General features: G+C 41.6%; 1 protein-coding gene across 8 annotated transcripts in view; it reads left to right on the top strand.

The window, feature by feature from the left end:
* The window catches only part of USP32 (ubiquitin specific peptidase 32), a 245,090-nt gene that overhangs the window by 65,949 nt on the left and 164,352 nt on the right, over positions 1 to 14,789 (top strand). For all 8 annotated transcript variants that reach the window (XM_011525372.2, XM_011525371.2, XM_011525376.2 and 5 more), the window contains exon 2: positions 10,860 to 10,987. In XM_011525372.2, coding sequence (XP_011523674.1) covers positions 10,860 to 10,987 — 128 coding nt within the window. The remainder of the gene's footprint in view (positions 1 to 10,859; positions 10,988 to 14,789) is intronic.

Below are 14,789 nucleotides of genomic sequence, written 5' to 3'. Positions count from 1 at the left end.
TACAGTCAGTTTGCAACTCTGCTTTAGCCTTCACTTCCTGCTTGTGTGGAGGTTTAAGGTCAGCCAAAGTGAGAGATATGGGAATTTTGGGGCACATGCACAGCTCTCCATATGCAGGTGGCCTTTTGGATTTCCAGGAATATGTCAGAGCCTTTCAAAGCCCTTGTGGGCTTGCTGTTTTCCAGGTTTTCCTTTCATGTTTTTTGGTTAACCTCTTGTTAGCCCCATCTGCCACTGCTTTCTCAGGCAGCTGTGAAGTTATATAGTTGCCACTGATTGTTTTTGAAGAATGCCAGGGGAAAAAGTTTTATTTGTAGAGTGAACTCAAAGCCAGATCAAATAAAGACAAAGCTTGAGAATGGAACTTTTTAATGAGCTACCAGATAGGTCAAATATTGACACTTCTTTTGAGAAGCTCTAAACCCATTCTGCCTCCTTCAGTGGCTGTTTGACTGTTGGTTTTTACAGCTTAGGGAGATTTTTGGTTTTCAAAGCTATTGCATAGCTGGGGAGAAGGTGATGGGAATAGAACATGTTAAAACACCACAAATACTGCTTTTTTTTTTTTTTTTTTTTTTTTACAGAGGTTCAGCCATTCTTTTTTTTTTTTCTTTCTCTCTCTTTTTTTTTTTTTTTTGAGAGAGTGAGCTGTCACTCAGCCTGGAGTGCAGTGGCATGATCATGGCTGACTGCAGCCTTGACCTCCCAGGCGCTAGTGATCCTCCCACCTTAGTCTCCTGAGTAGTTGAGACTACAGGCGTGTGCCACCAATTTTTGTAGTTTTTGTAGAGACAGTGTTTGCCATGTTGCCCAGGCTGGTCTTAAACTCTTAGGCTCAAACAATTCATCTGCTTCAGTCACCCAAAGTGCTGGGATTGCCACCGCACTCAGCTCAGTCATTTTTCTGGAATAAAGCTCTTTGGATTATTGCAAGCATTTGGTTGATTTCTAGAGTTCTGAAAAAGTTGGATTTTGACAGTTTTTGATAGTGTTCTTGCTGCTTTTTTAGAAGAATGGATTTTCAGAGGTCTTTACCATTCCGGCAATCGGTCTCCTTACAGGTTTTTTTGGAGGGAAAATTTTTATATCCTAAAATACAAAAGTCATGTGTCCTTGCATTTTGACAAGATACAGAACATTTCTATCACCTATGAAAGTTGACTTGTTCCTCTTACCAGTAAATTTACCACATCCTCAGAGGCAATAACTGTTCTGACCTGTCATCATTGATGAGTTGTTCCTGTTCTAGAACTTGGGGAATCACAGAGTATCTGCTCTTTTTTTTAATCAGCCTTCTTTTACTTAGTATAATATCTGTGAGCATCATCCATGTTGTTGCATATATCAGCACTTTCGTTTTCTCCTTTTTATGCTGAAAAGTATTCTATAATAAGAATGTATCATAGTTTTATGTTTTTGTTTTTGAGGCAGAGCCTCATTATGTTGCCCAGGCTGGGGTGCGGTGGCGCTATCTCGGCTCACTGCAACTTCCACCTCCTGGGTTCAAGTGATTCTCCTGCCTCAGTCTCCTGAGTAGCTGGGACTACAGGCACCGCCACTATGCCCAGCTAACTTTTGTATTTTTAGTAGAGAGGGAGCAAACTCTGTTGGCCAGGTTGGTTTCGAACTCCTGACCTTAAGCGATCTGCCTGCCTCAGCCTCCCAAAGTGCTGGGATTACAGGCGTGAGCCACACACCTGGCCTTATATCATACTTTTTTGGATTCATTTGTTCATGGACATTTGGCACAAAGTCACCAGTAGCAAAAAAAATTGCTAGTTGTAGGCCCCCTCTTGCCTGAGATGTCCCATCTGGGTTTTATCATCTACCTGAAGTGGCTCTGCAGTAGCTTTTTTTAGCAGGGACCCTACCAAAGTGACTTTTGATAGGTTAATTTACTTCAGATCAGCTGCACCAAGCAGATTTACAAATATGTTGGTTGTGTTTTCTTTGCTGCATTATACAATTTCTTCTTGTCCTAGGTTTGTAAATTCTTAGCCCACTTTGGCAGTGAAAGGCATATTTCCCAATGTTTATTTATCTCTGTGGTTATCCTCTGATTCAGATGTTGTTAAATTTTCCTCTTTGCCTTTGGAACCAAACTGTTAAAACGGAAACTCCTATCCTATAACAGAAATCAGAATGCATGGTCCTGCCTTGGCTGTCTTAAAGAAATAGAGATGAAGAATAGACTTGGTCTTTGCTCTCAAGAGACTTAAAATATACTTGGAGAGATAAGACAAATATTACCTTTGAAAAAAAGTTATAATATAAAGCAGTATATAATAGGGGAATAGAACACCAGTATTGTGGTTTATTGTGAAATATTTTATACCATGTAATGAGTAATAATAAAGTATTGAACTTCAAGAAAAAAGCTTACCTTTACAAAAATGGATTTAATTTCATGCATTTCACACATGCATGTGATTTCTTGACTGGAAGTAAAGAGTATAGTTGCAGCTAGAATTTACGGAATGCTCATGGTAATGACAACATCCATTCTGTGTCACTGCAGAAAAGGTTAATAACTACTGGTGTAGACACGGTAACCTCTAAAAGTTTAGAGCATGACAATGAGCGTTGTGCTGCTCTCTTATGTTTGTTTTGTGCAATTGTTAATTACATAATTTTATTTTCCTTTCATGGACAGTGAGTTCTGATCTCTTCATATGACTTTGTAAAAGCGATTTACATAGATTATCTAAATTATTTTTTATTTGTTTTTAGACAGAGTCTCACTCTGTCTCCCAGGCTGGGGTGCAGTGGTGCAATCTCTGCTCACCACAACCTCTGCCTCCCAGGTTCGAACGATTCTCCTGCCTCAGCCTCCTGAGTGGCTGGGATTACAGGTGTGCACCACCATCCCTGGCTAATTTTTGTATTTTTAGTAGAGATGGTGTTTCTCCGTGTTGGCCAAGCTGGTCTCGAACTCCTGGCCTTAAGTGATCCACCTGCTTCGGCCTCCCAAAGTGCTGGGATTACAGGTGTGAGCCACCGCACTGGCCTCTATCTAAATTAAAATGGAGGAGTTGGTCTATTTACCATTGGTACTATAGAAATGATAGTAGTCAGCTTGGGCTACCATCACAAAATACCAAAGACTGGATGATTAAACGACAGAAATGTTATTTCCCATTGGAAATAACGTTGGGTTCCAGCAAGGTTTTGTTTTTGGTGAGGGCTCTCTTCCTGGCCTGCAGAAGAGAGCCTTTCCTGCTCGTTGCATCCATACATGCTCTTTCCTCTGTGCCTATGTTGCGCTTGAGCCCTTTGGTGTCTCTTCTTCTATGAACACTAATCCTGTAAGTTCAGCGTCCTATCCTTATAAGCTTATTTAACAATAATTGCTTCCTTACTCCAAAACCAGCCACACTGTGTGTTAGGGCTTCAACATATGAATTTGAGGGGAGGACACATACATTCATTTCATAACAGAAATGTAAATACAATGTAATATATTCAAATTCTCCCCTAGACTAATCTTCATCAGTAGCACTGAGTATATCTTAGAAACAGGCAGACACTTTGAAATCATCAAAGATCATTTTTTTCTTTCTAGTCCTTTGACAGCTAATTATTCAGTGAACCCTGTTCAGTTGAGTTTATCTCTTGAATCTGCCTTCTTACCTCCCTTTTTACTTTATGCCTTAGGCCTGTAATCCCAGCACTTTGGAGACAGAGGTGGCAGGATCGCTTGAGGCTGTGCCTTCGAGTTCTTTTGTTGAGTTCATCTCTTGTCTGAACAAATGCAGTAACCGCTCAACTGGTCTTTATACCTCCATTCTGACCTTTTCCCAGTCTTGTTTATTGCATCGACACCAATGTGCATGTAAACCTGATTGTTACTTCTTTGTTTAAAGCCAGGAAAGGATTTTTAACATGGCTTAGAATGGCCTTCCATAAACTTGTACCTGATACCTTTATCAGTTAGGTTTAAGTTTGGATGTATATTAAACAAAATAATAGTTTAAATAAGATATAAGGGTTTATTTTTCTCACACGTAAATCTGGAGGTAGGATATCCAAGGGTCATATGGCAGTTCCATGGTCATCTAGGCTTTTAAAAATCTTTTTGACCTCGCCATCCTTACTGTATGGCTTATAACTTTGACGTTCACTCAAAAATAGGTGTGTAAAATGGCTGCTGGAGATGCAGCCATTGTATATCTAAGTGCCAGGTGGGAAGAAGAGATAAGGGCAAAAGGATATTTGCCAGCTGTTACCTTTTAAGAAGCCTTCATGGAGGTCCCCCCAGTCATTTCTACTGCATTTCATTGGCCATTTCTAGTTGCAAGGGAAACTGAAAAATATAGTCATTTAGCTAAGGACATTATCATCTTGAATAAAGTCAGGGTTCTGTTTTGTCTGCCCATTATCATTCTAACCTCATTTCTGACAACTCTGCTTCTTATACCCTGTACTCCATTTATATCATACTACTTGCAATTCTTTGATTATCCATGCCACTTTATTCTTTTATATGTGTTTTCCCTGCATAGAATAGCCCTTTGCGTTTTTTTTTGCCAGGTGAACCCCTACTCTTTAGGAATTACCACTTCCTAATTATTCCCTATTTTGGAACTCCATTGAATACCTCCAGTTTAATATTTCATATTTGGTATTATAGTTATTTTTGTTGTGTCCTGTCTTTTCTACTAAATTTTGAAGTATTAGAATATGGAGACTATGTATTACTCATCTTGACTGAGATAAGTAGACATTTAATAAATGCCTGACAGCTGGGCTTGGTGGCTCACGCCTGTAATCCCAGCACTTTGCGAGGCCGAGGGAGGTGGATCACCTGAGGTCAGGAGTTCAAGACCAGCCTGGCCAGCATGGCGAAACCCCGCCTCTACTAAAAATACAAGAATTAGCCAGGCACGGTGGTGCGTGCCTGTACTCCCAGCTACTTGGGAGGCTGGGCAGGAGAATTGCTTGAACCCGGGAGACAGAGGTTGCAGTGAGCTGAGATCATGCATTCCAGCCTGGGGGACGGAGTGAGACTCCATCTCGAAAAAAAAAAAGAAGCCTGGCATAGTAGACATTTCATAAATGCTTGTTGAAAAAAATCAGCTAAAGGTACAAATTAAAAATAGCTAGGAAGGGCCTGACATAGTGGTGCATGCCTGTAGTCCCAGCTACTTGGGCAGCTGAGGTGGGAGGATCACTTGAGCCCGGGAGTTGCTAAAAGGTTGGTGTGAAAGTGATGGGGGTTTGGGTAGGTGGTAGATTGGTGCCTGATTGCCTTGTGCTGCAAGGGTCCAGAGAGTCTAACTACTCCTCATAGACTTTGAACCAATCTCTATTTTTTTTTCTCAGCCTCACCTTTTACCCCCCTGACTTTTGTGGTAATTGGTACCATCCATTTCTGAGCCTTTTGGGGCTATGGACAGGGTAAATTCGTTTGCTTCTTGTTTGAATTTCTCAGCTGCTAGGTTTTAACTTTCTTGGGTTGGCTTAGGTCAGTGACCACTCCAGATACTTAATGTGCACCAGAAAAATTTGACTGTCTCTTAGGTTCTCGTGTCTCTCTTGTCCTATTTTTGTCTTTGTGAGTTAAAAAAAAAAATTCAATAGCTTTTGGGGTACAGGTGGTTTTTCGTTACGTGGATGAAGTGTGCAGTGGTGAAATCTGAGATTTTTAATGCACCCATCACCCGAGTAGGGTACATTATACCTATTATGTAGTTTTTTATCCCTCTGTCCTTGTGAGTTTATATCTTCTTTTATTCTCACTGTAATTTTACTGAGAGAGGGATAGAGGGAGAGAGAGAAGATTTAAGAAAAGTCCCTTTGTCCTTTTCTGAAGCTACTTTTTCTTTCTAATACGAAGATAACTAATATCATTTTCTTATTTAAAAAATTTACCACACCTGGGCCGGGCACGGTGGCCCATGCTTGTAATCCCAGCAATTTGGGAGGCCTAGGCTGGCAGATCACTTGAGGTCAGGAGTTTGAGACCAGCCTGGCCAACGTGGTGAAACCTCATCTCTACTAAAAATATAAAACTTACCCAGGTGTTATGGTAGGTGCCTGTAATCCCAGCTACTGGGGAGGCTGAGGCAGGAGAATCACTTGAACCTGGGAGGTGGAGGTTGCAGTGAGCCAAGATCATGCCACTGCACTCCAGCCTGGGCTACAGAGCGAGACTCAGTCTCAAAAATTACCACATCTGTAATCCCAGTACTTTGAGAGGCCAAGGCGAGTGGATTGCTTGAGCTCAGGAGTTTGAGACCAGTCTGGGCAACATGGCAAAACCCCATCGCTATTTAAAAATTCAAAAAATTATCCACGTGTGGCAGTGGGAGCCTGTGGTCCCACCTACTTGGGAGGCTGAGGTGGGAGGATTGCTTGAGCCTGGGAGGCAGAGGTTGCAGTGGCTGAGATCATGCCACTGCATTCCAGCCTGGGTGACAGAGTGAGATCCCGTCTCAAAATAAAAAAAAAAACAAAAACCAACAACAACGAAAAAACCACAGAGCAGAACTTAGGCTTGATTCTATTATATTTTCTGTCTTGCTTAAATTTTTATTTTCAAAATTTTCAACATTTCACTGTATGGTGAACATTTTTATGTATTTATTTTCAGTAAATATGGATCTGTAGGAACATTTCAGTGTCTGTATGATATTCTAAATGTATACAATAATTTATTCAATCTGTCCTTTGTTGATGGACATTGTTTGCTTCTTATAAATGCTTTAAAAGCTTATTTATATGTACATTTCCCTACAGTTTAAGTGAATAAATTCATTAGTCATCAGATTGCTATATATATATATGTGTGTATATATATATGTGTATATATATGTATATATATAATATATATATATATATATAATATATATATATATATATATATATATATTTTTTTTTTTTTTTTTTTCTTTTGAGACAGAGTCTCACTCTGTCATTGTCCAGGCTGGAATGTAGTGGGGCTATCTCAGCTCACTGCAACCTTTGCCTCCTCAATCCTCCTGCCTCAGCCACCTGAGTAACTGGGATTACAGGCACCCACCGCCACGGCTGGCTAATTTTTGTATTTTTAGTAGAGATGGGATTTCACCATGTTGGCCAGGCTGGTCTCGAACTCCTGGCCTCAAGGGATCCACCTGCCTCAGTCTCCCAAAGTCCTGGCATTACAGGTGTGAACTATCGTGCCCAGCCACCAGATTATATTTTTAAAAAACATATTACCAAGTAGTTCTTCAAATAATCTGTAACCAACACTATAGGAGATTACCTATACTGTTATACAGGTAGTCTATTAGATTAATATATAATTAATATATTAGATTAATTATATTGTAATATATTCTAATACTATGTTATTCTAATATTTAGTCATATATTATTCTAATATTATTTGAATGTTTAATTTTCTTGTCTCCTCCACTAGACTGTGAACAACCTAATTTGTTACTAAAGCCATTAATGAAAATTAGGCATCTTGAAGAAATACATATTCCGCAGCCAAAGTTACCTCCTTCAATTGCAAATGTTAATATTATAAATCCAATTTTAAATAAAGTACCTAATAGTCATACTTTTCTCTAGCTACTTATTCAACTAGTGGTTCTTATTGTTTTATCATTACTCTATGTTGCTGAACCATGAACCCCCCCTTCCTACCACAAGCATTTATCAAAGTGATTAACTGTGTGCCAAGCACTCTTTAGTCTTTATCTTTTTTTTTTTTAAGACAGTCTCGCTCTGTCACCCAGGCTAGAGTGCAGTGGCACGATCATGGCCCACTGCAGCCTTGACTTCCCGGGCTCAAGTGATCCTCCCATCTCAGCCTCCTGAGTAGCTATAGGCACGTGCCACCAAGTGTGGCTAATTTTTCTGTTTTTGTAGAGACAGGGTCTCACTATGTTGCCTAGGGTGGTCTCTAACTCCTGGTCTCAAGCCATCCTCCTGCCTTGGCCTCCCAAAGTGCTAGGATTATAGGTATGAGCCACTGCACCTGGCCTAGTCTTTATCTTGCTGGTCCTTTCTGCCTTAACTTGATAAGTCCCCTTTTCCTGGCCTTTGGAGAGCATACTCTTCTACTTCTCCTTCTTTTCTCCTGACTATTCCATATCAATTTTCTTTCTCTTTCTTAGTTTTTCCCTCTGTTTCCTTCCTCTTGGAAACACTGGCTTCTTCTAGTTTTGGTGTGTCTCATTATGCTTCTTCCTCATGGTTTTAATTACTACCTCTATACTGATGACTCCTATCAACCTCTCTTAAGCTTTACATTTAAAATTCTAAAACCCCATTGCATTTTCCAAGGTTTCCCATATTCAGTATCCTTAAAAAAGTTTATCATCTTTTTTCCTGACTTACTCTTTTTTTTTTTTTGAGACGGGGTCTCGCTCTGTTGCCCAGGCTGGAGTGCAGTGGCGCTATCTTGGCTCACTGCGAGCTCCGCCTCCCGAGTTCACGCCATTCTCCTGCCTCAGCCTCCCAAGTAGCTGGGACTACAGGTGCCCGCCACCAGGCCTGGCTAATTTTTTGTATTTTTAGTAGAGACGGGGTTTCATTGTGCTAGCCAGGATGGTCTGGATCTCCTGACCTCGTGATCCGCCCGCCTCAGCCTCCCAAAGTGCTGGGATTACAGGCGTGAGCCACTGCGCCCAGCCTTTCCTGACTTATTCTTACATTCTCTGTCTACATAATAACATAATCCTTGAAGTTTCTCGGTACTGGCTGTGTGCGGTGGCTCAAGCCTGTAATCCCAGTCAAGGTGGGCAGATCACTTGAGGTCAGGAGATCAAGACCAGCCTGGCCAACATGGTGAAACTAAAAATACAAAAATTAGCCAGGTGTAGGCCGGGCGCGGTGGCTCACGCCTGTAATCCCAGCACTTTGGGAGGCTGAGGCGGGTGGATCACGAGGTTAGGAGATCGAGACCATCCTGGCTAACACAGTGAAACCCTGTCTCTACTAAAAATACAAAAAATTAGCTGGGCGTGGTGGCGGGCGCCTGTAGTCCCAGCTACTCGGGAGGCTGAGGCGGGAGAATGGCATGAACCTGGGAGGCGGAGCTTGCAGTGAGCAGAAATCGTGCCACTGCACTCCTGCCTGGGCGACAGAGCAAGATGCCGTCTCATAAAAAAAAAAAAAAAAAATGAGCCAGGTGTGGTGGTGCGCACCTGTATTCCCAGGTACTTGGGAGGATGAGGCAGGCAAATTGCTTGAACCTGGGAGACAGAGGTTGCAGTGACCTGAGATCATGCCACTGCACTCCAGCCTGGGTGACAGAGTGAGACTCTGTCTCAAAAAAAGAAAAAAAAAAGCTTCCCAGTACTGCTTCTACTCTCAGTCTAGCTTCAAGTTCTACTGACCCTCTGGATATTTCCCAAATTTAGCTCCTTTTCTTGTAGTAGCAGGCTATTGCTTCCAGATTTGTTCTGTTCTCTTTGTTATTGGTAGAGTGAGCTATCTGAATTATATCTCACTGTGTTTTTTTCTCGTCTGCCTGCAGTTTTTATCTGAGTTGTATCTGACTGTGTCCCTTCCTTATGACAGGACAGAGTCTCTGTGACTTGGTCTTGCTGCCTCTCTAGGTTTATCGTTTGCTACTCCGTGCTTTGCTGTAGTAAGATACTTTTATGATACATTTTTATACTTCATTGTACTTTGAAGCAAACTGTAATTTCTGACCAGCATATCCTTGTTCATTTTGCTTGGTTTAGCCTTTAAAATTTAATGTAATTATCTTCATCTGGAAGAATTCTCTGTTTTCTCTAGCATGGGTCAAAGGTACCATTTCTGTGCCTCTATTGTGATTGTGGTACTGATCATGTAATAGTAAAGGGTGTTTATTTCTTTGTTCTTGTAGATAGAGATTGTTCCATATAGTGAAAAAAAGTTTTCAATGCATAAAATAAAGTAATGGCTCAGTAATTTTTTTGTTTTTGATAATAAGTATCTAAAAATTTTAGTTTGTTAATATCATCTGTTTATGAACTATTTTCTTTTTAAATAATGACAAAATCCAAGCTAAACTTGAAGACTGTTCTCCATATGGATAGAGATGTGCTCAAGGAGTACAAATAATATAATTTTTATCACAAAGGAGATTAATGTATTGCTGCTGAAAACATTAATGCCAGAATCCAGTGGCATTTAGCTTACCTGCTAATTTGAAATATTTGTTACTTCTTTGCCCCTGCCTAAAATTTGTATGCCTATATTAAAGTTTTGTCTTTTGAAAATTGAATGTTAAGAATTTTGGCTTGGCGTGCTGGCTCATGCTTTTAATCTCAGCATTTCTGGAGGCCAAGGTGGGAGGACTGCCTGAGCCCAGGAGTTCAAGACCAGCCTGGGCAACATGGCGAGACCCATCTCTTAAAAAAAAAAAATTATACTTATTTTCTAAATTAGATTTGAAAATATTAGAATTATGACTAAATGTCATAGAGTTTTATTTAACCAAAAAAGAAGTGTAATGCTTGCCAATTTTTCTTTTTTTTTCTTTTTATTTATTTATTTTTTTGAGACAGAGTTTCGCTCTGTTGTCCATGCTGGAGTGCGGCGGCATGGTCTTGGCTCAGTGCAACCTCCATCTCCCAGGTTCAAGTGATTATCGTGTCTCAGCCTCCCAAGTAGCTGGGATTATAGGCATGCACCACCATGCCCAGCTAATTTTTGTTTTTTTTGTAGAGATGGGGTTTCGCCACATTGTCCAGGCTGATCTTGAACTCCTGGCCTTAAGTGATCCGCCTGCCTTGGCCTTCCAAAGTACTGGGATTATAGGCGTGAGCCACTGTGCCTAGCCTCAATTTTTCTTAGGAGCCAGGTTGAAAAAAATTATGAGACACCTCTTTTCTCTCCTGATTTCTTACCCATCTTCTGTTTCTGAATTGCAGTTACAGATGTAGAGCTAAAACGACTGAAGGATGCTTTCAAGAGGACCTGTGGACTCTCATATTACATGGGCCAGCACTGCTTCATCCGGGAAGTGCTTGGGGATGGAGTGCCTCCAAAGGTTGCTGAGGTAATCTTTTTGTTCTAAGTTTTCCTTTGAGGTAGTTATCCACCTCCACCAGCCTAAATTCCTGAGGGGCCTTCTGCTCTTAACAGATTTAATCTTACCTGTAGTTATTTTTCTTCCTGAGTGGGTAAACAATGTTTTGTTTTAGATGTCAACGTGGCTGTGTTCTTAGAGGTCAAGTGGGAGTACTACAGAGCTGTAATTCTGTTTCTTTTGTACTTTAGAGCTTTAATAGCCACTGATTATGATCATAGGAACATTTCCATGATTGGCTTCTTATTCTTAGAAAGTTAATCTCTGTGACATAAAAATTTTTATGTTGCAAATATGTTTTATAAATTTTATGTTAAAGAAAATTTTCTGTATAGTAAAACATAGTTAATTCTATAAAATTAAATGTTGTAAATGAAATACTAACTTATTGGGACTTAATTAAATTTTTATTTAAGTTCTACTAAAATGTTTAGGTAGAAATAAAATGTGCTAAGTTGATATATTCTGTTTCTAAAAATAATATGTTTAACCGGCGCCACTGTGCGTCCCTGTAGTCCCAGCTACTCAGGAGGCTGAAATAGGAGGCTTGCTTAAGCCCAAGAACTCGAGTCCAGTCTAGGCAACATAGTGAGACACTGTCTCTAAAAAAAATAAAATAAAAGTTTACTATTTTGTAGTTATGTACACAGATGTACATTTTGTCATTCTAAATGAGAAATAAGAATAAAATTTATTGGCTGGGTATGTTGGCTTATGCCTATAATCTCAGCACTTTGGGAGATCGAGGCAGGAGGATCACTTGAGCTCAGGAGTTCCAGGCCAGCCTGGGCATAGTGAGACCTCATCTCTACTTAAAAACAGCAACCAAAAAAATTAGCAGACATGATGGTGTGTGCCTGTAAGTCCCAGGTACTCAGGAGGCTGAAGTAGGAGGATTGCTTGAGTCCAGGAGTTTGAGGCTAGAGTGAGCTATGATTGCACCACTGCACTCCAGCCTGGGTGACAGTGAGACCCTGTCTCAAAAGAAAAAAAGAATAAATTTTATAAGATAATAAAAACTATGGCTGGGCAAGGTGTCTCACACCTGTAATCCCCGCACTTTGGGAGGCCGAGGCGGGTGAATCACGAGGTCAGGAATTCGAGACCAGCCTGGCCAACATGGTAAAACACCATTTCTACTAAAAATACAAAAAATTAGCTGGGCTTAGTGGCGGGTGCCTGTAATCCCAGCTACTCGGGAGGCTGAGGCAGGAGAATTGCTTGAACCCAGGAGGCGGAGGTTGCAGTGAGTTGAGACTGTGCCACTGCACTCCAGCCCGGGCAACAGAATGAGACTCTGACTCAAAAAAAAAAAAAAAAAATAGGAATTTTAGGCTTGGTATATTATATAGAACCATTCTTTGCCATTTTTAATTAACCCTAGTTTCTATTTCTTTTTATTTTCTTTTTTTCTTTGAGACAGAGGTTTGCTCTTGTTGCCCAGGCTGGAGTGCAATGGCATGGTCTTGGCTCATGGCAAGTTTCGCCTCCCAGGTTCAAGCGATTCTCCTGCCTCAGCCTCCTGAGTAGCTGGGATTACAGGCTCCCACCACCATGCCCAGCTAATTTTTTGGTATTTTTAGTAGAGACGAGGTTTCACCATGTTGGCCAGGCTGGTCTTGAACTCCTGACCGCAGGTGACCTACCCGCCTTGGCCTCCCAAAGTGCTGGGATTGCAGGCGTGAGCCACCATGCCTGGCCTTCTCTAGTTCTTTTAATTGTGATGTTAGAGTGTTGATTTTAGATCTTTCCTGCTTTCTCTTGTGGGCATTTAGTGCTATAAATTTCCCTCTACACACTGCTTTAAATGTGTCCCAGAGATTCTGGTATGTTGTGTCTTTGTTCTCATTGGTTTCAAAGAACATCTTTATTTCTGCCTTCATTTCGTTATTTACCCAGTAGTCATTCAGGAGCAGGTTGTTCAATTTCCATGTAGTTTTGCAGTTTTGAGTGAGTTTCTTAATCCTGAGTTCTAATTTGATTGCACTGTGGTCTCAGAGACAGTTTGTTGTGATTTCTATTCTTTTACATTTCTGAGGAGTGCTTTACTTCTAATTATGTGGTCAATTTTAGAATAAATGCGATGTGGTGCTGAGAAGAATGTATGTTCTGTTGATTTGGGGTGGAGAGTTCTGTAGATTTCTATTAGGTCTGCTTGGTGTAGAGCTAAGTTCAAGTCCCGGATATCCTTGTTAACCTTCTGTCTCGTTGATCTGTCTAATATTGTCAGTGGGGTGTTAAAGTCTCCCATTATTATTGTGTGGGAGTCCAAGTCTCTTTGTAGGTCTCTAAGGACCTGCTTTATGAATCTGGGTGCTCCTGTATTGGGTGCATATATATTTAGGATAGATAGCTCTTCTTGTTGAATTGATCCCTTTACCATTACGTAATGGCCCAAGATGGCCGAATAGGAACAGCTCTGGTCTGCAGCTCCCAGCGTGATCGATGCAGAAGACGGATGATTTCTGCATTTCCAACTGAGGTACCTGGTTCATCTCATTGGGACTGGTTGGACAATGGGTGCAGCCCACGGAGGGCGAGGTGAAGCAGGGTGGGGCGTTGCCTCACCCAGGAAGCGCAAGGGGTTAGGGGATTTCCCTTTCCTAGCCACGGGAATCCATGTCAGACTGTAACTAGAAAAACGGGACACTCCTGCCCAAATACTGCACTTTCCCCAAGGTCTTAGCAACCAGCAGAGGAGATTCTCTCCCGTGCCTGACTCAGCGGGTCCCATGCCCACGGAGCCTTGCTCACTGTTAGCGCAGCAGTCTGAGATCAAACTGTGAGGTGGCAGCCTGGCTGAGGGAGGGGCATCCACCATTGCTGAGGCTTGAGTAGGTAAACAAAGCTGCCAGGAAGCTTGAACTGGGAGGAGCCCACTGCAGCTCAGCAAGGCCTACTGCCTCTAGACTCCACTTCTGTGGGCAGGGCATAGCTGAACAAAATGCAGCAGACAACTTCTGCAGACTTAAACGTCCCTGTCTGACAGCTCCGAAGAGAGCAGTGGCTCTCCCGGCATGGCATTTGAGCTCTGAGAACGGACAGACTGTCTCCTCAAGTGGGTTCCTGACCCCTGTGTAGCCTAACTGGGAAACACTTCTGAGTAGGGGCCTACAGACACCTCATATAGGCAGGTGCCCCTTTGGGAAGAAGCTTCCAGAGGAAGGATCGGGCAGCAATATTTGCTGTTCTGCAATATTTGCTGTTCTGCAGCCTCTACTGGTGATACCCAGGCAAACAAGGTCTTGAGTGGACCTCCAGCAAATTCCAACAGACCTGCAGCTGAGAGACCTGAGTGTTAGAAGGAAAATGAACAAACAGAAAGGAATAGCATCATCATCAACAAAAAGGACATCTACACCAAAATCCCATCTGGGGGTCACCAACATCAAAGACCAAAGATAGATAAAAACCACAAAGATGGGGAGAAACCAGAGCAGAAAAGCTGAAAATTCTAAAAATCAGAGTACCTCATCTCCTCCAAAGGATCGCAGCTCCTCGCCAGCAACAGAACAAAGCAGGATGGAGAATCACTTGACGAGTTGACAGAAGTAGGCTTCAGAAGGTTGGTAATAACAAACTTCTCCGAGCTAAAGGAGTATGTTCGAACCCATCGCAAGGAAGCTAAAAAACCTTGAAAAAAGGTTAGACGAATGGCTAACTAGAATAAACAGTGTAGAGAAGACCCTAAATGACCTGATGGAGCTGAAAACCATGGCGCGAGAACTTCGTGATGCATGCACAAGTTTCAATAGCGGATTCAATCAAGTGG

The sequence above is a fragment of the Homo sapiens genome, chromosome 17 (assembly GCF_000001405.40).
Source record: "Homo sapiens chromosome 17, GRCh38.p14 Primary Assembly".
Lineage (NCBI taxonomy): Eukaryota > Metazoa > Chordata > Mammalia > Primates > Hominidae > Homo > Homo sapiens.
This window is presented reverse-complemented; position numbering and strand designations above follow the sequence as displayed.